This window comes from Homo sapiens, chromosome 18, assembly GCF_000001405.40.
Source record: "Homo sapiens chromosome 18, GRCh38.p14 Primary Assembly".
Classification (NCBI taxonomy): Eukaryota; Metazoa; Chordata; class Mammalia; order Primates; family Hominidae; genus Homo; species Homo sapiens.
The window spans coordinates 49109321-49135073 of NC_000018.10; the positions used below are offsets into that span (position 1 = coordinate 49109321).

Consider the following 25753-nt stretch of genomic DNA (forward strand, 5'->3'; position numbering starts at 1 on the left):
TGGACTGGGTATAATTTTATGATTTCTATTTTATCTTCATCTTTTACTTACTACTTATATTTCTATTTTAATGTTTTCTTTAGTGGTTGCCCTAGAGTTTATACTATACACCTTTAATTATCACAGTCTATCTTCAAATAATATTATACTACTTGACACTGTGAAGAACTGTGAAAAGTGATATGGTACCCTACTTGTGAGTTAACAAGTTATCCAGTCTATAGTTCATGGATCCTGGAAGAAGAGATATTTCTGGGTCAGAGACGGAGGGAAGTTTGTTAGTCACAGCAATAGCAGTGATCAGAGCATCTGCATTACCACACTGGCTCCCCAAGCCCCAGTTTGCTTAGGGTTATGTGACAAGGGTCAGACAACACCTGCACATGCAGTAAATTATGTTAAAGGACAGAACCCTGAGCTTAGGGAACCCGAATCTCTTAGAGTGGTCAGTAACCATGCCTATCTTTTACTCCAGAAGGAGATACAAATATCTTTGAAAAGATAATCTAGAGCAAAGGACAGTCAGTGCCTTTGCTCACAAGATGAAATCTGTGGAAAATTATCTCCCAACACACATGTGTCAACTTCCAATTCTTCCCTCTCATCCTTTGTGCTACTGCTGACACACATCTTACTTTTATATGTTATAAACCCCACAATACATTGTTACTATCTTTATTTTAGACAAAATGGGTTGGCAACCTATAGCCTGTGGGCCAAATCTGGCCTGTTGTCTGTTTTTGTAAATAAAGTTTTATTGGAACATAGCCATACCCACTTGTTTACACATAGTCTATGGCTGCCATTGAATTACAATTGTTGAGTAGAATAATTGTGATAGGGACTATGTGGCCTGTGAAGACTAAAATATTTACAATCTGCTCACTTACAGAAAAAGTTTGAGGACCTCTTCTTCCAACAGTCAATTATTTTATACAGTGAATCAACATAAGAAAAAGCTTTTTATGTTTACCTTTATTTTTGCTATTTTTGGAGCTCTTAATTTCTTTTTGTAGATCCAAGTTTCTATCAGATATGATAGTTCTTCTGTTTGAATAACTTCCATTAACTAGTCTATAGTACACACTAGCAGTAAGTTCTCTCAGTTTTGTTTGAAATGTCATTATTTTGTATTCAGTTTTTAAAGACATTTTTGAGGGTAAGATTTTGTTTTTTTTTCATTTTAGCCTTATAAAGATGTCACTTCATTATCTGACTTGCCTAGCTAGGTTCTGCCAAGTAAACTGCTGTTACTATCTTTGTTCCTCTGTATATAATGTTTCTTTTTTCTCTGGCTGAATTCAAGACTGTGTTTTTTCTTTTATCTTTGATTTTCAGATGTTTAAATATAATGTCTTTTAAAAAAATGGATTTATCCTGATTGGGGTTCTCTGGGCTTCCTGGATCTGTGGTTTGATGTCAGTATTTTTGGAAAATTCTCAGCTATTATCTCTTTAAATATTTCTTCTGACCTGTTCTTTCTCTCTTCTCCTTGTGAGACTCCAATTATATGTATATTGAATCATCTGATATCGTCCTATAGCTCTTGGATGATAGGTTCTCATTTTTCACATGTTTTTCTTATTGTATTTATTTGCATAATTTCTACTGACCTATCTTCAAGATCACAGATTTTTTTCACAAGCCCACTAATGAGCCAGTCATAGCAATTCTTTGTCTGTCACATGTTTTTTACTTCTAGCATTCCCATTTTATTTTTTCTTACAGTTCCCATCTCTCTCTGGAACTGTTTATATATGTTGTCACCTTTTCCCCCAGGACAAAGGTTGGTATATGTCTTCTATAAAGAACCAGGTAGTAAATATTTTAAGTTTTGTGGGTCCCAATATAGTTTCTGTAACATATTCTTCTTTTTTTTTTTTAAACAACCCTTTAAAAATGTAAAAAACATACGTATTTCACAGGCTGTACAAAGGCAAGCTGTGGGCTGCATTTGCCTGATGGGTCCCACTTAGTTGACCTTCACACCAGATCTTTGAAACTGATAAATCATAATTACAGTCCCAGCCTGACAGTTCCAACATCTGAGTCATCACTGAGTCTGGGTCTGTTGCCACCATTACATTTTTCTTGCCTTTTTATGTCTCATAATGCTTGGCTGAATGTTAGACATCATGTGTAGAACTGTAGAGACTGACAGAAATACTATTTATGATAAATTAGGGCACATCTCTTCTTAGGTCAGGCTTGGAGGTTGAGCTGATTCACTCAGAAGGTGAGCTAAATTTGAGTTTTGCTGTTGCTGTGGCTACCTTCAGTGTACCACATCCTCTAATGATGCCTTGTGCTTTGCTGGGATCTGAAGTGCCACAGGTTTTTCAACGTTCATGCTCCACGTTCTGCTTTCAGTGAGTTCTGCATACCTGGGTCCCAGAGCAGGGTGTGTATCCATGCCCTTGATCTTTCCCAGCAGCAGATGCTGCTGCTTGTTACTCAGTACTTGCTAGGCTGGTGGCAGAAGGTAGGGGATTCTCTACGTGCTGTCCTAAGACCTCAGTCTTAAATGGGGCTCTCTATGCCTGGGCCTAGGGCATAAGGCTTTCTTAGCTTTCTCTTCCCTTTCTTCCGATGGCAGCCAGACTTTGCCCTGTATCTGTGATGAGTTGTTGGTAGGATACCTCTAATGGTACTCTTATAGAACCCTGGGGCTGCGACAGTTTCCTGCCCTTTACCCAGAAGTAGAGAGTTTTTTTGTTTTATCTTTTACGTGCAATAATGGGTCTCTACCTATGCCCCGAGGGCAACAAGGTTTGGTGCCTGCCTCTGCACCCGCCTCCTCTCCGCACCCCCCTCCCCTCCGCACCCCCACCCCTGCCAGCAATCTAAGGCTTTTGCACCATATGAAAGAAAGGTCTGGCAGGGGAATGATGCTACGCATTTTTCTATTGGTACATCACCTTGGGAGGCTCTCTGGCTTCCTGCTGTGCCCCCAGTCTCAGTGGAAAACAGCCTGTGAGTGCAAATTCCTCTGGTGCTTGGGTCTCCTGGGTGTTCTGTAATGTCATGCTACTCCACACTCAACCTTTAGCAAGTTATTAAAATTGCATCTGATTTCTTTTTACCCACTTGTATGGTGGCTACCTACCCCTGTGCTCTGCCACAGGTGATCCAGTCCTGGTGTCTCACCTCAACTTGAGGGGTGGGTGGGCCGATGACCCCTCCTTGGGATCTAGACTATTTGGTTGTCCTGTGACCTCAGCTCATTGATAGGTTCAAGAAAAGTTATGATTTTGTAGTTTACCTCTTTTTCTCTTTGTTAGGGTAGAACTCTTCCTAGCTTTCTATATCCTAAGCAGAAGTCCACTGTAGGGAATTTATTTTTTAGTAGTAAATTTACTGAGGTACAATTTCATACAATAAAATAAACATACTCATTTTAATGGTACAGTTCAACCAGTTTTGACAAATATGCATACCCTGTAACCATCTGCCCCTCATTATCACAGAATGTTCACTCCACCTTCCCAGCCAGTTCCCCATAACTCCGTCCCACCCACTATTCTCTGTGCCTAGAGTGCTCTGTCCCCAGATAGCTGCATAGCTCACTCTCTACCTGCTTCAAGTTTTGGCTCAAACGCACCTGATTACATTCTTTAAATCTGCAATCTCCTACCGGTATTCTAACGAGCTCTCATTATTCTCCTTTCTTACTCTTTTTTTTTTCCTTAAGCAACTGGGTAGATATTGATGTCATATATTGGGATAAGAAAGACTATAGAAGAAAATATTTTATATTGCATTGGTTTTTGCAGAAAATCAAGAATTATGATTTAACCTTGTTTAACAATTGTGGGACTGTCAAGTCAGTAGCCTAAAGTGCTAGTTTAGAGCTTGATAAGGATGGTCAGGTCTGGAAATACACAAGATCTAATGTCCAGAGATAACAAGATTTCTTGCCTGTACCTTACTATACAATGGTTATAGTTCATTGCATCTGTCCTCTACTCATATTCAGCCATTTCTTAGGTAACCAGACAATTTATTTTATGTTCTCTCTTGTTTGGTGTTATATTCTACCTTGTCTTGCTGCTTAATTCAGCCTGATCATATCACCTTATGTTTTAGATGGGCGAGATAGGCACCAGTGTGTAATAAAAATGTAGGCACTTGAAAAACATCTATCTAATTCCTTCTGCAGACGTTAAAAGTGCTCCAAGGTTAGCCACTTCTGTCTTCTGAGATACTGAGTGCTGCTAAATGTCTTAACCAAAAATAATCAACTCTCAACTCCCTGCCCACTAAAAATAACAGTAGATTCGTCTCCTCCACCAACTTTTTTCTTCTACAGTCTTTCACAGAGTTAACTTCTGAAGGTTAACTCTATGAAAGAAGAAAGTAGCAAAAGCTTGTTTAAGCCAAAATTTCAGGGATCTTTGGGGGATAGATGGGGAAGGTAAAGTACTGAAAAAGGCACACAGTAGAGATGTTATTTATATCTTTATCACAGCATCTTTTCAAAATATGTAAAAGGAGTTTAAAATGTTTTTTAAATGAATTTCCAGTGTGCCCAGCACTATTTTGGATGATAGTATTCAACAAAAAGTTGTTGGAAAACCTGCTCATTTGGAATCTTAATTAGGTTTATCCAAGTGAATGCTGAAAACACGGGATTTAATAGAATGAGAACCTGGATTCAGGGCCTGGTTGACTGACTTGCTAGCTAAGTGATCTCAAGCCTACTATTTCCCTTCTCTAGCCCTGCTCTCCCTTCCTCCTAGGGATGGCGAAAGGGCCAATGACATAAAGCCCCCTGCAATAACATGTGATAACTATCCAAGACAATGATCCTTAGGCAGGAATGTATATTAATAGCATCTGAGAAACCTCTCAGCATCTTTATTTTCTTATCTGTAAAGTGGGATAATAATCCTAGCTCACATGGATTAAGAATGGTAAAAGAGGTCATATACATGAGGCACTCAAGCTTCATTCCCATCATTTAGAAGGTGTACTTAAAAATGTTTAGGCATTTGTTTATGTGGTTTTAAGAACTGCATAACAGCATATAGTCAAATGTTTAGCCTGAGAATGCAGTTTTCACTGCATACAGGTGAAGTGTAAATAAGTGGCCCATTATTCCGACAATGACAGAAAAGTGAGCACTGGGTATAAGTCCAACTTAACATCCTGCTTTTACTTCTATATGGTTCTATACTGTGTACTTACAGTGAGGTCCTTTCTACTTCCTCACCTCCACTCTGCTTTTCACTTCTTCCAAAGGAGAATGTGTTTCAAATGGATGTAGTTTAAATTCTTTGCATGGTTCTGTGTGTCCTGATTAAAAAAAATTAATATGGTCTTTCAGAGACTTTTTTTTTCTTTTTCTTTCGTGTGTGTGTGTGTGTGTGTTTAAGAGATGGTCTTGAATTTCTGGGCTCAAGAGATTCTCCTGACTCAGTCTCCTGAGCAGCTGGGATAACAGTGTACCACCACGCCTGGCTCTCAGAGACATTTTTAAGGATATCAATTGCCTGGTTACTAAGAACGTTCCTCATTGCACCACTGATGGAATAAAGACTGATTTGACATTATTAGAACTGATTTTGAAAGAGAAAGTAATTAGGTTTGTGGATATGATCAGATGGTTTCATAGGCAACTGTGGGAGCATTTAGTGAATGTGTATAGTGGTTAGGCAGAATTATTACAAACAAAGGCCTTATCATCAAACTCTGGGTTTAAGTTCTCGCTGTATCACTTGCTGAATGTGTGACAGTAAACAAGTTAATTAATCTTTCTAACTTGGTTTCTTTATCTGTAAATTGAGGGCTAAAATGAAATATACCTCATGGTTTATTTTTTAATGAGGATTAAGTAAGTTATTGCACGTAAGTGCTTAGCAAGTATGCAATAAAAGCTAGTGATGATTAGAAAAGAAGCAAATGGCTTTTGATGTGGTTTAAATAAAATGTTAAAGCTAAATACTCCAAATGATGTGTAATATTGCAGCTACTGCAGCTATGACCACAGGGAAAAAAAAAAATCTCTGGTTTAGTCTTTTGTCAGGAATACAAAGAAAATATTGCCTATCACAATGAAAGGTACTGGGAATTAGAGATTATTTCTCTCCCATTTACTGCAGGTGTATATTAGCAGACATACATAGTCCATAGTTCAGGTGACTATCTTTAAACATTTTTTTAAAGGAAAAAAGAAAGATAGGAAGGAATGAAAAAAGAAATTGGAATGAGGGAGGTCCAGAGAAAGGTAAAAGTTAGAACAGATGGGATAGAGGACTGCCACAAGGGCAGACTGAAATGAATGGGATGACACAGTTTAGAAACATGAAGACTGAAAATGGACATGTTGGATATTTCTAGAATGTAAAGATCTGAATAAATCTTGGAAAACCAGGAATATCTCCTGGAGCTTGAAAGAGATACATTAATAAACAAATGTAAGAAAATACTATTTTAATATTACAGTGCCCATTCTTGGGTGATATTCTTAGACGAAATATTAGACATCAAGAGTCTCAAGACTATAAAAGGCCACACTTTGCATCAGATTAATTTTAAAAAGATAGAAGGATAGGAAAAGCAGCATGCCAACAGCATAGTCTCACAGGTTTTTGTTTTCCTTGGGAATCCTTATAGCAGTTTTTGGGCTAGTCTTTGACCCTTCAAATGACAGCTCAGATGCAAGAGAATGAGACTACTGTAGGTAGATGCAATAGCCACCCTACCTTAGAAACCATGTCTCAAATAGAAACCAATATCCTTGTGACAGTCTCAGCTTCTACGTCCTTGTAAAGGACATGCCCAGTTATAAGAATTCTCTCATTCGGAGAAGCCCAAAGTGATGGCTTCTCATCAAGTATTTGTAGTTCATTCGTAGTCCTCCAAGTAATGACTCAGCTTACCAATCAAATGTCATTTTATCACATCATCATTTTATCATAGCAGTGTTGCTTGGTAACACAACTGACATTCTACCTCCATTAGATTTCTAGAGAACTGAGCTAGAAGCATCTTAACCCAAGGCCAATTTCTCATGTAAAAGGGGAAAGAGTTTTGTGAAACCTTTACCCACAAGCATAATGAGTCTTAAACTCAGTATTTTACCTCCAAAAATACTACTGGGAAGAAATAGAAATGAATTTGGACAAATTCATGAATAACATGGTTAGAAAAAGCTTTTCAGAAGTAAGTAAACAGCTAGCCTATAAAGTTGCCTTCATACAGAGAACGATTTCTACTGAATGTTATAATCCTTAAGACTGCTTGCAGGAATAACTGTTAAGAGGAATGGATAAAGGCCCTGCTTGAGTTCCAGATAGTTTCTTTGAGAGCTGAGATGACAGCAGGGATGGCATTCTCCCATGAGATACCCCTCAGCCCCCATGGACTCTTTACTTTCCTTAATAACTGGTACTTTTGCATTATCATCTTCTATCAAAGCATAAAACTAACAGGAATTCTTAGACTATAAACCACAATTTACCATGTTGTCAAAAATAATCTATCCCATAAAAGAAGACGGAGTTAACTCGTGATAGGTGTTCCTTAGGCAAAACTTTGTTTCATAATCTTATTAACACTGACACTTCTCAATTTTAAAGAGATCTTATTAACACCAATACTTCTTAATTAAAACTCAGAGTTAACAAGAAGGACATGTGGCCAGAGATGAAATAATCGAGAAGTTGCTAAGGATGCTCTCACACACATCCTAAATATCAGTGAAGCTACATGGAGTCCTGGTTCATAAAGATTTCCCTTAAAATGTCAAAGTTTGATTCTTAAAATAAACATCCTTGTGTGAAATGGTGTTTCTGCTTTATCTTGATTGCACTGATGGCAACTATACCCAAATTCCCCGATTCTGTTAATGATACCTAAATGATGTCGATATAAGTTTAGGAAAGTGACAAGAGTGTCCATGGCAAAATATTTTGCTATAGCTGCAACCGTTAGGTATATAGTTGAAGCAGCTTAACGAAAGCCAATGAAATTAAGCTGACAGAAGAGTTTTAATATTAATTTCTGTTTACCAGCAATCATGAAAAAGCCATGAAAATCAATGAATGGATTTGCAACAGTATACTCAACTGTAGGTTAAACTCACATTTAATTGTGTAGATTCCAGAGTATCCAGCAGTTAATACATCCTATGTGTTTCATATCTTTATTAGCCATTTAGAGTTCCTCTTTTGGGAGTGCCTGTTCGATTCTTGTTAGTTTTTCTATTGAGTTATTTATCTATTATTAATATATATTTTATTGTTATATTCTAGATTCTAGACTTTTCTTGGTTGTATGTTGCAAATATCCAATCTCTAACACAGCTACAAACTTTTTAACAGAACTCTAAAACTCCTCTCTAAATAGTCAAACAGATCAAGTAACATTCTCAAATCTGCTCTTTCTATGGAGACCTGCTACCTGCCACACCCACTGTGCACTGGTTCTACACACTACAGTGTATTCTTGGGAACTGCCTTCAGTGCTCTCCTTTGGTTAAGCCTGGCTCCTTTGTCTTCGTCTTTCTTTGTTTACTACTTTGTGTTGATGGAACATATATTATAGTAGCTTTAGCAGAGATGGGGTTGGTTTCACTGTGTTAGCCAGGATGGTCTCGATCTCCCGACCTCGTGATCTGCCCATCTCGGCCTCCCAAAGTGCTGGGATTACAGGCATAAGCCACTGTGCCCAGCCTTTTTTTTTTTTTTTTTTTTTTTTGTGTGTGAGACGGAGTTTTACTCTCGTTGCTCAGGCCAGAGTACAATGGTGTGATCTCGGCTCACTGCAACCTCTATTTCCTGGGTTCAAGCGATTCTCCTGCCTCAGCCTCTCAAGTAGCTGGGATTATAGGCATCAGCCACCACACCCGGCCCACAGGCATAAATTCTACAGTTTTTCTGGAAAGCAATTTGGCAACCTGTGTTGAATCTTGAAAATAAAGATATCTTTTGACAGTAAAAACTAGTAAAATTCCAGCTTTAAAACCATATCAAAAATATAATTTTAAAATTTGAGATAAGACTTATTTATAAACTTTTCATTCATTATGAATTGATATAAAATACTGGAAATAAATGAGCAAAAATGGGATAATAGTTATATATATTTTAGGACACAAACATGGGCTAGATAGAAATTAAAATGTGAGACTTTCAAAGAATTGATAATACCACAGAAAAATGCTCATGGTCTAAGTGTAAAGTAAAAAAGTCAGAATAAAAAACTGTATGAAGTATGACTTCAATTGTATTAAATATGTATGTGTGTGTATATACAACACACACACAGATTACCACAACTATTATAGTAAAATAGACTGCAAATACAGTTAATGTTGAAAGAAGAAACTCTTACTATTATAGTTCTTACCAAGGCTTATTAAACATTCTCTGCTTTAATACTTAAAAAAGAATCATAATAAATGTCTTCATTTACACTCACCAGATCAATATTTTGCATTATATCCTGAAATGAAGGATGAGTTCGAAATTGTTCAAAGAGATCGCGTTTGTAAAGCAGGGCGTATACCAAGTTTGGGTTGTGGTGAAGGGAATTTGTCAGGCAGGAGTTGATGATCTCTAACATCATTCGAATCACTTCTTCAATGACATTTAGGTCTTGTGCCTTATAGAGAAAAGAAACCCCAACACAGAGTCAGTCTTTTCCTCCTTGCAACAGAATTAATGAAAATAAGAGTAATTCCCTCAAAATTATAACAGCATTGGAAAGATCATGAAGAGAAGAAGCTCATCAAGATTATTTCTGTCAAGAATCTTAAGAATGAGGTTTATCAGTTACTAAAGGATTTGGGTTAAAATCTTTTGAACTTAGTATGGTAATAATTAGGAATTTCATATAATAAATTATAGACTTACCAATCTAGAGGGAAATTTGGAGCTTACTCAGCTCCTCATTTAATAGATCCATATTGGTATTCTCATTATCGTATTACCCTAAATCGTTAAGACTTCCATGATGTAGAGTAGTGGTAGGGTTGTACCCATTCCAAGAAAAATGCCTAATTCAGAAGATGACTTCATTTCTCTACACTGTCATTTCAGTCTTTATATTTCAGATAAACAGACTATGATTTTGTCACTGTTTCCTCATAATGAATAGTCTTTGGGAATCTGAACATAAAATAGTTGCCAAACAGTAAAGCTCAAAGTAAGCAATCAGCAAACCTCTTGGAAGAAAAGGGCAATGGAAAGAGCAAGCACATGGGTATATACAACAGACTTTCCTCTCCTCTTCAGTTTTCCATAATATATTTGACAGTTGAAGCAAAAATTATAACATTGATGTGGTTCTCAATGTATGTAAAGGAATATCTAAAACAATTATCAACAAAGGTGGTTAAGGGATTTAAAAGGACAAAGGTTTCTACAACTCACTTGAACTGGTAAAATATCAACACTACTAGACTGCGATAAGCTATGTACATATAATGTAATGTCTAGAGCAAATCTGCCTGAGGAAAAAAAAATACTATAGATATATCAAGGCTGGCTGTGGTGGCTCATGCCTGTAATCCCAGCACTTTGGGAGGCCAAGGTGGGCAGATCACTTGAGCTCAGGAGTTCGAGACCAGCCTGGGCAACATGACGAAACCCCATGTACACAAAAATTAGCCAGGCGTGGTGGCACACATCTGTAGCCTCAGCTACTTGGGAGGCTGAGGGGGGAGGATGGCTTAAGCCTGAGAGGTGGAGGTTGCAGTGAGTTGAGATTGCTCCACTGCATTCCAGCCTGAGTGACAGAGCCAGATCCTGTCTCAAAAAAAAAAAAAAAAAGAAAAAAAAGAAAAGAAAAAGAAAAAAAGAACCAGAGATATATCAAAATGGGATTCTAAAAAAATTTCCATACAGGAAGGCAGAAAAAATGCAAATGAAAAAGGGAAACCAACTAAAAACAGAAAGTAAAATGGTAGTTACACATTAATAACTACATTAATTGCAAATAGTCCACAATAGTTAAAATCTGAGGATTGGCAGAGTGGATTAAAAGCACACCACCCAACTATATGCTATCTATGAGAAACTTCTAATATAGTTAGGTTGAAAGTAAAAGGATGGAAAAAGATACCTACACAAACGTAAGTCAAAAGAAAGCAGGAGTGGCTATACAGTATACCATACCTTTAAGGGATTGGTTCCAGGACATCCCCCTGCCTCGGAAATACCAAAAATCTGCAGATGCTCAAGTCCCTTATACAAAGTGGCATACTACAGTTGCTCACTCCATCCACAGATTTTTTAAATCTGTGGATGTGGAATCTGAGGATATGAAGGGCCAACTGTATGTACTTTCAATCTGCGTTGGTTGAATCTGTGCATGTGTCACTCAAAATATGGAGGACTGACTTATATTAGTATCAGGTAAAGTAGACTTCAGAGACTATCTGGCCTACAAAATAAAAAATATTGACTATCTGGCTCTTTACAGAAAAAGTTTACTTCCCCTGCTTAAGAGATGAAAAGGTATGCCTATTTCCATACAATTTACCTCTGTCTTTCTTAATTTTTTTTTGACTCAGGGTCTCACTCTGTCACCTAGGCTGGAGTGCAGTGGTGCAACCCTAGCTCACTGCAGCCTTGAATTCCTGGATTCAAGCAATTCTCCCATCTAAGCCTCCCAAAGTGCTGGGATTTTATAGGTGAGCCACTGAACCCAGCCTCTGCCTCTGTTTTCTTAAATACAATGTCTAACATTCAACTGAAATGTATGAAACACACAAAAAAGTAAGTAAAAGAATCCATGTTGAACAAAGTCATCAGCAGAATATGACACAGAGATAAAACATTCTGAAAATATCAAAGAGGGAATATAAAAGAACTGTGATCTACAAAATTTGTTTGAATTGATTGGGAATTTCAGCAGAGTTAAAAACTATAAGAAAGAGACAAATGGTAATGCTAGAAATTTTGTAAAATGTGGTGACTGCAGTGAAGAATGCCTTAAATAGGTTTCAATAATAGACTGGACAGAGCTTGGGAATGAATTGCAAACTTGAAGGCAGGTTAACAGAAATTGCACAAACTAACCCTACAAAGAGAAAAAAAGAGTAAGAAAACAAGACAGAGAATCCAACAAGGGCTGTAAAATAATAAGAAATGCATTAATATACATCTAATTGACTCCCAGAAGGAAAAGAGAGAAAGAATGGGACAAAAGAGATATTCAAAGAGATAATGACTGAGCATTTCCTATAAATAATGAAAAAAAATCAAACAGATTCAAGCACGTCAGAAAATACCCATGGTCACTCCACCCCCAAACAAAAACCAAAAGAACCCATGTACTTAGATCCATCAAATTCAAATTATTAAAGACCAAGACAAAGAGAAAATCTTGAGGACAGCTAAAACCAAAACAAAACAAAAAAACCCACACACATTAAATACAGAGGCACAAAGATAAGAATCACAGCTGACTTAGGAGAACCGATGCAGTCCAACCTAAATGTAGTGGCATCATTAAAGCACTGAAATAACAGCCAAGTATCCTATACACAGCAAAAATATCTTTCAAATATGAAGGTCAAAAAAAGACTTTTTCAGATAAAAATAAGTTGAGATAATTTATTACCTGCACTATACAAAATATTAAAGGTATTTCTTCAGGCAGAAGAAATATGAAGCCAGACAGAAATGTAGATGTCCACAAGGGAAGCGAGATATTTTTATTTTTAATCATTCTAAAAGAGAGCTGACTTATAAAGTAAAAATAGTAGAGATGTATTATAGGTTTATAGCATATATATGTAAAACATGTAAAATATATCATAACATTCTGCTGATGGACATCCAATATATATCTAGTTTCCTTGTTTCTATGAATAAGGCTGATAAGTCTCCTGGTAGATGTGTTATATATGGGTACTTTTACGTCTCTGGGATAGATTCCAGGAGAGGGATTGCTGAAAAGGCTGTATTTGTAAAGTTAATAGATGCCATCAGATTGTTTACGGTGATGACAATACACTTAAACTAGCAATGTAGGAAGGCCTTCTACCATTTTCTCACCAACAGCAGGTATACTTGTTCTTTTTAAAACTCACTACCTGAAAGATACAGAGAAATACACTGTTACTACCTTAGTGACCATCTCCCTGAATGGGAGTGCAAACCCTCTTGTGAACTGCACGTGTGAGGGATCTGGGTTGCACACTCCTTACAGGAATCTAATGCCTGATGATCTGAGGTGGAACTGAGGAGGTGATGCTAATGCTGGGGAGCAGCTGCAAATACAGATTAACAAGCTCAGTGCTCCCCTCGTTTCTACATTATAGTGAGTTGTATAATTATTTCATTATATATTACAATGTAATAATAATAGAAACAAAGTGCACAATAAATGTTATGCACTTGAATCATCCTGAAACCACCAACCAGTCCATGGAAAAACTGTCTTCCACAAAACCGGGTCCCTGGTGCCAAAAAGGCTGGGGACCGCTGCTTTATATTCTTCAGCATCACAACCACAAGTCTAGGTATTGGCTTATTTTTATTCATCTTGCTCAGTATATTCGGAGTGCATTTTGACCTGACAACCTAGTCTCTTCCATAAAGATAACTTGGATAATCTTTTCTAATTATTATCTTCCAATTTATTAACTCTCTTTGATAGTGTCCAGTATAGATCACTGTTGCTTACTGAGCTTTGAATTTTAATGACTATATTTTTCATTTTAAGCTTTCTAGTTAACTAGTTCTCTCTCACAGTCATGTTCTTACTTATTTCTGTTTTTATTTCCTATTTATTCTTTTTTATGAATATTGTTCCTTCATTTATCTTTGAGGCTACTCAAAGTATTTTCAAAATTATTCTATTAGTTTTTAATTTTATTTGGATAAATTTACCTTAATTATGATCATGACTGCTATCTTTCTATTGTTAATTTCCGCATGTATTTTGTTATGCAAGCTTATCTAATATGGCTTAATACTTCCAAATCTATAGGTTATGTGGTGGCTTCCTAGAGTCTCAGACTGAAACCAGGTCTCATAATTGGTGCCTCGGTGCTCCTGCCCTGCAATCATACTAAAGACAGTACTGGCCGGGTTTATCACCATACCAGTATCAGTTTGTTTCAAGATCCCATGGTGAGGCTGTTTCTGTGTACTCTTGCCTCCCTAGACATATAATTTAACTGTTATTATTAGCACATTCATTCAGGCTCTTTATTTCAATAAAGCATCTATTCCAGCTCCTAATTTCTAGCAGGGAATCTGGCACTAGTGTCTGGCCTACAGTAGCTGAGCTCCCAACCACTTCTCCTCCTTCCAGCTCAGCAGGCTCACTGTTCTGACTGCTTTTTCTGCTTCTGTTCCATCAAGAAATAGCTGTCTCATTTTGGGATTTGGCTATGTGTTTAAAATGTTTTCTTTTTATGATTCATCTATTATTGTTATGTTTTTGAAGCAAAGGGGAGGAGATGAGACTTCAAATTTGGAACTAACAAGATAATCTTGACCAGAAGTCCTCTGAATTATATTTGCTTCTCATTTTGGTATTTGAATTAGTATAGAAGGAAGAGACTTCAAGCTTCAGAATTCTCTCTCACGGTCATTTAAGGGCAACCCAATGAAATGGTATGACTACTTTAGAAATATAATCAAGTCAAAATATTAGCTTTCTGTAGAATTTTATGTTCATGTATATTTTATACACTCACTTATGCTAAGTATAAGTGCTGATATATGAAACTTATACTTCAAAAATTATCTGCAGATAGCTTACAATTTCTGCTTTCAAACACATTGAGAGTTTGTTCTCAATGTTTAAATAAGTAATTTGCTGAAACAAACAGGGTGATACACCCAACTCCTAACTAGGCACCTGCTACTTTAAACCCAGGCTAAAATACTGACTATTTATTTTATTCCCAAGTCAGGGAAAGTATAAAATAGAAACTTGAGGCTGGGTACAGCAGCTCACATCTGTAATTCTAGCATTTGGGGAGACTGAGGCAGGAGGATCACTTGAGGCCAGGAGTCAAAAGCAGTTTGGGCAACTGAGCAAGACCCCATCTCTATAAAAAACTTAAAAATTAGCTAGGAGTGATGTGGTGGTGCATGCCTGTAGTCCCAGTTACTCAAGAGGCTGAGGCAGGAGGATTGCCTGAGTTCAGGGGTTTGAGGCTGCAGTGAGCTATGATCATGCCACTGCACTCCAGCCTGGGCAACAGAGTGAGACCCTGTCTCAAAAAAAAAAAAAAAAGAAACTTTATATTAATAAGCATGTTCTACATTAGTTTTTACTTTGCATGACTCTGACTAAAGGCTCTTTAAGAGTTACACTAACCCTCTTATTTTTAGAGTTATTGGGTATTTTACCAAACTTCTCTTACATTGTTTCTGTGACAAATTCTAATGTGATCTTTTATAGATTATATTCAGTTGCAGATTTATAAATTAAATGACAAGAACATATCATTTCTAGCATTACTCAAATTGGCTAACAATATACTGTGGGAGGTTACAGCAAACACATTTTACATGATATTGTATTTGGCTGGACTGCCATGCTAGAAAGAATCTTCTGTATTTTAATGTACAACTATTTTGAAAAACAAAAATGAATAACATAATTCAGAAATAAGTTTGAAGAGTGGCTAATTATAATTTTCTGTCAATATTTACTTTAATATGTAACACTCTAAATAAGTTATTAGGCCAGGCACGGTGGCTCACGCCTGTAATCCCAGCACTTTGGGAGGCTGAGGCAGGCGGATCACGAGGTCAAGAGATCGAGACCATCCTGGCTCACATGGTGAAACCTCGCCTCTACTAAATATACAAAAAAAGTAGCTGGGTGTGGTGGCACACACCTGTAATCCCAGCTACTCAGGAGGCTGAGGCAGGAGAATCACTTGAACCCAGCAGGCGGAGGTTGCAGTGAGCCGAGATTGCCTACTGCACTCCAGCCTGGGTGACAGAGTGAGACTCTGTCTCAAAGGTAAATAAATAAATAAAGTTATTAAAATTTCAATATAAAGAATCCCTATACAGAAAGAATAGTTTCCTTTCTGGTTATACCCAGGCGTGAAATTCCAAATATTTAACAACTAGTTGGCACTGCTAGTCCTAGTAGATGCAGGTTGAGCACAACCAGGGCAGCCCTACTAGCTTGCATTGGCTGGATGTCAGTGGTAGTAGTGACATAAATACTCTCTTTCAAGAAAGAAAAATAAAATGAAGTTTCCTTGAAGTCAGGTCTACGTTAATTGGTTTTATTATAGTCCAAAAACTATACCAAGAATTTCTACGTGCATTACTTTATTCAATTCAGCAATTCTTTAATTTACTACTAATTCAGTTACTATCTATCCAATTAGAAAGCTTAGAATTTGGTCAAAGAATCGTAAAATTATAAAACACCCTCAGAAGATACAAAAGACACTAAAGTGACTCCCCTTAATGCTAGAATCCCTTCTATAACATTCATCCCAAGTGGTCAACCAGCCCATCCTTGAATACAGAACACTTTTGAAAGGCTCCTCATTCTTTCTATGCAGTACAGAAAGCTGTTGCAGTTTGGCAGAAGTCTGTCGCCCTACTCCTACTCGCCAGTCTTCAGTCTATTCCACTGTTATAGCTATCATCTTCTTCTCAAGCCCATCAGCAACCTCAAGTGTCCCTCAATACAACCTGGCTTAAAGCCTTCTCATCATTTTATTTGCACTTTGCTAGATGTCTAGCATTTGGATTGTTTTGATCATAGATGTAATGCTGTGTATTCCATTATCTCCATTAAGATACATAAGTATTTATACATTTGTAATCCTTGCAACTAATTCATTTCCATTTTTAAGTGACAACAGTTCTCTGCTAACCACTACTTTAATTATCCTTTAGGGAACAGCCAGAATTCCTACCGTGTAAGTCGTTTCCTGGAAACCATGCTCTGGATCCTCCCATTGGTGTTGGAAGATCAACTACAGCTTCAAGGCACCAAGCAGATCATGAAATAATCAGGAGCCAGAGGGGTAAATTATGTACCCTGAGATTCTGATTTACTAAAAACAAAGTATCAAATTTTTGACTAATTCTAATTTCTAAGGAAAACTATCTCAACAACTATAATTTCCCAGTTACTTGAATCTTCAACTTGCTACTATGATTAGATGTCTGGTTCAGACATCCTTGGTAATAAATGAAATTCTTTATGTTTCATTTTTTAAAAGCATTATTGGGTTATAATCACCACTTGTAAAAAGAAGAAAAATCATGAATTTGGAGAGTTTCTTTAAAATTACAAAACCATCCAAATTTCAGTACTTAAACAGACCTAAAATGTTATCTAATCTCATGATTTGGGTGTCAGAATTTCAAATGGTATTTAATATTATTTGATTTTTTTTCATAAATTTTAAATGAGGCAGCATTTGTAAAGTCCTTAAAACTGTGTGTAACACATGGTAAGCACTATGTGAGTGTTATCCAAAACATCCACAAACATATTTTCGAAGTATTTTGAAGGAGAAAAATCATTTTAGCTTTAGACATTATCATAAAAAATATAAATGGCTTTCCAAAGTTGAAATTACTATAAGTGCAAAGAACTCAGAACTCATGTTTCTTAGTTTTAAATGTAAGTCCAAAATCCCACTCTTATTAATTTATAAAAGTAGTCAATGTATAGAAAAACTGACTTGCATTTATGAAATAAGATTTTATGGAAGACACGCTTTTGAAAACTAACCGTATTTCCTCAGTATTGTGTCAAAATTAGCTTTGTCAGAGGTAGAATCTGCTGGCTCCTCAATGGAGCAGCCATAATAGAATCTGCTAGCTCATCAATGGAGCAGCCATGGTATTTTCCTCTTAGTCCTTACAGCTTCTGTAACAGGAACAGATCTCATATCAGACAGGCTTTCTCCTCCAAAAAATGGGCATACTTATTTTACTGCAGACAATTTCAAACGTAAAAACAAGAAAATGATCCCATTTTCAGATGTTTCTGATACATCAAATATGTTGGGAATGAAAGCTCAACAAATTCTATGCGAAGTAGTAATTTCATATCAAATAGAGAAGTTGGCCATTGTGGGAATATTTTACCTTGTTAACAGCAGTCAGAGTTGCCTCTCATTCTATAAACTTCCTTTTCCTTTTAAGAGGGAATTTATACAGTTAAATAGTTTCAAATCTTTATTTTTAGTTTCCTTAAGAGAAGCATATGTATCTTGTTTGTATTAGTTTTGGGGGGATTCCAAGAGAGTTGTCTAAATTTCCTGCATTTTCAGCAGAAAATAAAACCTTCAACAAAATTAATGGGATTTTGCCAAAAGTGGGGAGTAGGGGGAGGAAATGCACAAGCAAAGTTCTCTTTAAAGTTAATGCGCCAATGGCCTTCAAAGGCAATCACTTGGTGACAGACTCTTGTTATCTTTACGTTGCTAATTCACTGGTGCACACACTGGAAAGCTTTGTGGCCATGTTATTTCTAGCCAGAACTGGATTTGTCCAAAATACTGAGCTTCTGATAGAAAGAACAGGTTTTATATTACACATAAAATCAGAGCTGAAGAATAAATCCTGTGACCTAAAAAGACAATGGGTAACCTTAATAAAGCAGTGGGAGGGGGAGGCGGTGAGCAGACAGCAGTCACCGCACCACTGGTCTCATGCGGGGATGTAAAACCATGTGGTCTTTTTCTACACTCCTTGGATGTGGTTTGAATGTGACCCACAAGCCTCAACCACAACACTCTGGAAAGTCGTTCTTTAACATACACTACTGCAAAGGCACTGGAGGCAGTGACAAGAGAACTGTGGCTGCTAGGGTACACTGGCTAAAGCCACGTTTTTCCACATCCGGAGAAGAGCCAGAGAACTCATACAAAGAGTGTTCTGATTGAAATCCAGCAAAGGTGCAGCCTCTGACAATCAGATTATGTTAGCAGGCCACTTGCAGTGGACAGAACTTGGGGTGCAGAATAGAGTTTCTCACCCTTCCTCAGGCCCACTGCCAGCAGAAGAGACAAGTGCGTACCAGAGCTTGGTGTTCTGTTTTTAAAAGTTCAATGTTTTACCTTAAGTATTAGTGTTCATTTTTATTCTTCTTAGACTATATTGGTGTTTTATTAGAAAAAGAAATCCCTTTCCACAGCCTACGAAAAGTAAAATCTAAGTAAAGCAATACTTTAGGAAGATGTGTCTTTTTTAAAAAAAGTCTTTGACTTTCTACTGAGTGCCTTGTCTCATCCCAAATCTGAGATCCAGGAGTCCCAGCACTGCCAATAATTAGCTGTGACCTTTGCTACATCACCTGAGTTACAGTTTTTATTTGCAAAAATAAGTACTTACATAATTTTTTAAAACCCCTTCCTAGTCTCAAGTCTCAGCTTCATAAAGTATTTAGACAATACTGAATTTGGAAAGTAAATTTTATTAATATAACCAAAAAATGTAATTAAAATAGAAACGTATTCAGGGTAACTTCAAACTTCAGGAAAATTCAGAATTTAGATTACCCTGCCACCATGAATAGAGTCATTATTGGTTTTTAGAAGAAGAAGAAAATCCAAAAACCTTTGTAAGTAAAAATGCACAAAGTTAAGTTTCAAAATAATCATTCTCCAACCCAAGGAACCTATTGATTCTTCTGTTTTCAATATATGCTATTTATCTTTGATACTCTTAATAAACAGAAGGGAAATAATCTGTAAACCTGTGTGTCATGGATTACACATTGACTTCAGAGACCTATGACGCTTGATGCCCTTTTTTCATTCTTTCTTGGGAAGAAGAGTCAGTGATGCCAAAAAAGGCAGTAAAGGGTCACAAATAGGGGTGTAATAAGCTCAAGTTAAAAAAAAAAAAAAAGAAAAACAGAGTAGCTCCAAGTCCATGGAGAGAAGCTCCAGATTGGGTTCTAGTCCCAGTTTTGCCATGGACAGGGCACGTCACTTTCACAGGCCTCATTTCCTTCAAATGTAGGATAAATAGGCTCTCTAGGTCACGTGTGTACACATTGTAAGGAACCTGGACTTCAGTTTCCGTGTAGGATGTGCAAAGTAACAAAGAACGACCCTCCTTAGTGAGGAGAAAAAAACCAGGTAACTTAATAAATCTTAAATCTTCTTAAGTTCATCAGAATATGATTTCACAAGGCAACCAGATAAATGAATTCCAAAGAGGGTCAAGTACCTCTTCTAAGGAAAGAAGGAACACAAACATTCACCTTTGGCTGAGCATGCAAGGAAGAAGTGGTGTCCACAGAAGTGGCAAAGAAGAAAGCAGCTAAAATGTTGATGAATTATTAAAGGCTAATGTGTCAGTCTTGAAACCTGAAACCCAGATGCAAGAGATTTTATGTTCACTTAAGAGTTCTTTCTCACTATCCTCTACTAGGTGCTCATGAGAAAGGCTGGTATGGAGCAGGCGACTGAAGAGGGCCCCTCTACCACTGCTCAAGCTTGCAGGAGGTGATAACTGCTGCTGGGGGCAGGCTCCAAGACTCATTTTCTTCCCTGACTCTTCTCTCATGCTAAGAAAAAGCCGTAAGCTACAGGGCAGCAAACCCTCTTGGCCTGTAGCACAGGCAAATTTTCATTGTCTCTAGGGGGATGGTAGAAACATGTCTGCCCCTGAACAAGAGGTAGGAAGCTCTCTCACCTCCAGGACATAGATAAAGATCCAATCCTGATGATAGAGGAATAAAAGCAAAAAACTTTCTAGTTCTGGGATTTGAGGCAGGAAACCAAGTTGGGTTCAGGATCCTATACGCATACCAATATCAAGCACAGGTCTGCTACCACTGGAGAAGGGACAGGAATGCAGAGAAAGGTCTACTTCTGAGATCCAGGTGCACACAGGGACTCTCCAGGATTGAGGCTGGACTAGGACAACAGAGAGGTCTCTTCTCCAGCCCTACTGCTGGGACTGCTGAAAACGGAGTAGTAAAGAAACACTGAAAAAAGCCCTCTGACACTGCAGACTCCACCCTTTAAGCATAAAATAAAGAGCTGCTAGGGGAATCTGAAGCTGGTGGTGCACTGAAGACACAAAACCCAACTCTGCTCAAGAAGGAACCAACTCCCATTAATAGTCTAAAAGCAAAGGTCTCCCCATTTACAGGCATAAATGCTTTTAACCTCGGATTCGAATGTCCTAGCACAATGTCCGGCATTCAGTAGAAAATGAGACACCTGAGTCCATAAGTCCATATTTTATCTTTGGTAAATTGTCTGTTTGTGTCTATTGTGCATTATTCTTTTGAGTTGTTTGTCAGGAAGCCCCTTTCTCCTACTTTACTAAAACAATTTTTTTTTTATATGAGAAGTGCCTATTGGCTTTTCCCTAATTCCTTTTCAAATCTATTAAGATGATCATGACTTTTTTCTCCTTTGAATATTTACTATGAGTACATCAATAGATTTCCTAGAATTATACAATGGACTGTATGACTTGGTAGGTGCTATGGCAGATGCTGGGTTGGAGTGGGGATCCAGACATGTTCCTGCCCTCACACAGGTTACCATTTAGGGGAGAGGCACCCTGTGAAAGTACAAGGCGCTATGGGAGCACTTGGAATAGGGTTGGGGGTTTTGTGGGGAGGAGGACATAGACAAATAGTAGGAACATAGGCCCTGGAGTCAGCCTTGAATCCCAGCTTTACCATATGTTAGCTGTGTGCCCTTGGGCAATTCACTGAACCTTTTTGAGCCTCAGCTTTCCCGTGAGAAAAATGAGAGAACTACTTACTTTAGAGGATGTGAGGATTAAATAACGTATTTAAAACTATTTATGGTCTTGCGTAGCAGATAAAGAGTGTTCCTTACTTGGTGGTTATTATAATACTTACCACAAACAACAGACAAAATGCTAACCCGAAACAAGAAGGAAGAAAAAAGGAGGAAAAACACAAATATCCAACTTTAAGGTGACAAAGAGAATGTGACTACAGACATGGAGGACATTTCAATCTTCCTGCCTTGCAGATGCCACCTTCTCCCTGTGTCCTCACAGGGCCTTCTGTAAGCAGCAAGCAAGCGAGCAAGTGAGCTCTGGTGTCTCTGCCTCTTCTTTGTTTTTTGAGGCACAGTCTTGCTCCACCACGCCTGACTGATTTTTTTTAATGTTTTTGTATGTTTAGTAGTGACAGGGTTTTGCCATGTTAGCCAGGCTGGTCTTGAACTCCTGAGCTCAGGCAATCCACTCGCTTTGGCCTCCCAAAGTGCTAGGATTACAGGCCTAAGCCACCACGCCCAGTCTCTGCCTCTTCTTATAAGAGCACCACCCCTACTGGATAAGGGGCACATCTTTGTGTAACCTTAATTACTTCATTAAAGGTCCTGTCTCCAAACACAGTCTTATTGGGGGTTAGGGCTTCAACATATTAATTTGGAGAAAACAGTTTAGTATATAACACTTAACCATCACTAAAGTGAGACAATCATACCTTCTCATTTGTGAACCAAATAGTACCCAGCTATGCAGTATTCTTAACAAGAAAGGAGAATCTGAATCTATTTAAGACTTTAGAGCTAACTTTAATTATAGTAAATATGAGGGACAGAGAACAAGGTAAATGACACCAAAAGGAAACAAAAGGACATACCAGAATGTGAAAGATTCTACAGGACAAATGGTTCAATTTCTGCCGTATAATTGGATGGGAGAAAAAAGAAAGACAGGATTGCTCTAGATTAAAAGAGACAGGAGACACAACAACCAAATGTGTGAATTTTATTTGGATTCTGATTTTAACACATTGCCAACAGCCATTTTTGAGACTTCCGGAGAAATGTTAATATGCTGTGCATTAGATTATACCTAGGAAATATTTCTAATTTTGTTAGATGTGATAATGATATGTGATTATGAAAGAAAATGTTATTATTTTTAGAGATGCATACCAAAATATAAAGGAGTAAAATCTCAAGATTTATTTAAAGATACTTCAGCACAAGAAAAATAAAAAGCTCAGATAAAGGATATATGACAAAATCTAATTGCAGAAACAAGGTAATGAGATATGGGGGTTCATTAAACTACTTTTGTGTATGTTTGAACTTTTTCATAATAAAATTTTTTACATTGACAACTTAAATAAAGGAAAAATTGTGTAGGAAACTATAAATTCCTCAACTTGACCTAAGATCAAATAAAAAATGTGAAGAGAATAACCATGAAAAAAGGGAAAAATCTGTCAGAGACACACTGTTAAAAAAGGAGGTTGGGTTCATATGGTTTTATGAGTAAACTCCTTTATATCTTCAAGGAATATATAATTACTATGCCATTTAAGCTTTCTAAATCAGAGAAAAAGAACGTTTCTCATTTTGTTCTTCCTTAAACAGGGGTAACATAACTATAATTTCAAAAATTGGTAAAGTTAGTTGAAAAATAAAAATAAAAACAAAAACCGTCATTAAAATACTCAAACATATGAACATTAAATTCAACATTGTGCTAAAAGGGTTACAATCCAAGTAATTTCAAGAATTCTGGAAGAGTACAATTCTAGGAAATCTATTGATGTACTCATAGTAAATATTCAAAGGAGAAAAAAGTCATGATCATCTTAATAGATTTTGAAAAGGAATTAGGGAAAAGTCAATAGGCACTTCTCATATAAAAAATTGTTTTAGTAAAGTAGGAGAAAGGGGCTTCCTGACAAACAACTCGCAAGAATAATGTACAATAGACACAAACACACAATTTACCAAAGATAAAATATTAAAATATGTTCAACTTTGCTGGTAGTTAAACAATGTCTGTTAAATTATAATGCTATACATTCTTTGCCATTTGTTTTTGTTATAAAAATAACAAATGATTATAATTCTGTGTTGTCAAGAAGAAAGGAGATGGCATTCTCAACAGAGCACTGATGAAAGTATAATCTGAAACTACTTTTCCAGGGACCCATTTATAAATACGTACTTAAGAGTCTTAAAAAATGTGAAGACTCTTTGTCCCTACAATTCTAATATTAGAAATTTATCCTAAGGAAATAAGACCATGCCCACGGATTTACTTTGTGGATGTCTATTGCACAATAACAAAAAATTTTCAAAATTTTCATCATCCCTGAATTTGTTTTCTGTTACTGTCATAACAAACTACCACAAATTTAGCCGCTTAAAACAACACAAAATTTGTCGTCTCACAGTTCTGCAGACATTCAGATAGGTTTGGTTCCTCCGCATCTAATGAGGCCAAAAGCAAGGTGTCAGCTGAGCAGGGTTCTTTTCTGGGAGCTCAGGGAGAGAATCTCTTCTGAGTTCATTCAGGTTAGAGGCATTCATTTCCTTGTAGCTGCAGAGCTATTCTCCTGCTGGTATAAGCTTGGAGTCTGTGCCTGCATTCCCCATCACATTGCCTCCTTCATCTTCAAACCAGCAATGGCAAGTCAAATGCCACTCAGCTTTGAAGCTCTCTGAGATCTCCATCTGGTACATCTCTCCTGCTTTGGCTGGACAAAAAGTTCTCTGCTTTTGAGGGCCTGTGTGTTTAGGTTAGACCCATCTGGAATAACCAGTCTAATGTCCCTCTTTTAAGGTCCATAACCTTAGTTATATCTGCAAAGTCCTTTTTGCTATGTAACTTAACATACCTACAGGTTCTGGGGATAGGATGTGGACACTTTTCAGGGGCTATTATTATACCTACCACAATTCCAAATGTCCGATAGTAGATGATTGACTAAATTATAGTACATCTGGACAAAGCAATACCATGAAGCTATTAAAATGAGATATCATGTAACTAACTTTGAAATGCATAAAACAGGATGGATTGATTGATTGATAGAAGAACAGAGAGATAAATAGAGGGTAATAAAGCAAGTCCAGTAAAGTGTTAATTTACTGAAGAATCTGGGTGGTAGGTATATGGGCATTTACTGCAACATTTTTCAACTTTTTTGTATATTTGAAAATTTTAATAATAAAATGTTGGAGAAAAAAACCAATTAGCCCCAATGATCCAACTTCACTGGGTGAAAATCTAGACATTTATGAAGATATTTCTAGCGAAGCAGCAGGAGTAAGCTTTTGCATAATGGTTTATAAGGAGATTACGTTTCAAACAGCATTAAATATCACCTCACTTTATTTTTCAAGTAATTAGCAAATTAAAATAGAAAAGCAATAGTACAGGATGCATTTTTTGAACTGTTAGTGAAAAGCCAAATAATATGCTTGAGGAATTTTTATTTTCAAAAGGAAAGTTCCCTCTAGAATAATTAATACATAAAACGAATGCTGTCTTGATTTAATTATTTCTACATGGAAATAAGTGAATCTACCTCACAGTTTAACAAAATTTGACAAAACAGATCCTCAGTTTATTGAAACAGACAAACAATAAAATGAATAGAAAATAACCACGATGATTTCACAAACATTAGCTGAGTGCCAACATCATGACATGTAGCATTGTCTTAAGCACTGAGAATAGATACCAAGGACATAAAATAAGATGTAGTCCTTGTCATTTATTTCACCTTGGAGTTATAAAATCTTGTCTAGTTTTGTACGGCAGAAATCTATCAAAAACACTTTTCTCAGCCGGGCATGGTGGCTCACGCCAGTAATTCCAGGACTTTGGGAGGCTGAGGCGGTGGATCACCTAAGGTCAGGAGTTCGAGACCAGCCTGGTCAACATGGTGAAACCCCATCTCTACTAAAAATACAACAAATTAGCTGGGCGTGGTGGCAGACACCTGTAATCCCAGCTACTCGGGAGGCTGAGGCAGGAGAATCACTTGAATCCGGGAGGCGGAGGTTGCAGTGAGCTGATATCGTGTCACTGCG

The 25753-nt window shown here is 37.2% G+C and overlaps 1 protein-coding gene and 1 long non-coding RNA gene across 41 annotated transcripts in view; one reads left to right on the top strand and one right to left on the bottom strand.

Moving 5' to 3' along the window:
* Positions 1–25753, bottom strand: part of DYM (dymeclin) — a 424259-nt gene that overhangs the window by 72934 nt on the left and 325572 nt on the right. For 30 of the 40 annotated variants that reach the window (XM_047437553.1, XM_017025795.2, NM_001374429.1 and 27 more), the window contains one exon: positions 9424–9606. The exons of 9 other annotated variants lie outside the window; for them this stretch is intronic. In XM_047437553.1, coding sequence (XP_047293509.1) covers positions 9424–9606 — 183 coding nt within the window. Of the gene's footprint in view, positions 1–5187; positions 5296–9423; positions 9607–25753 lie in introns of all 40 variants that reach the window. One more of the 40 variants, XM_047437557.1, reaches the window with a different exon arrangement.
* LOC124904298 (uncharacterized) lies at positions 7076–7785 on the top strand. Its single transcript, XR_007066361.1, has 2 exons — positions 7076–7164; positions 7620–7785. It is a non-coding gene; the product is annotated as an uncharacterized LOC124904298 (long non-coding RNA).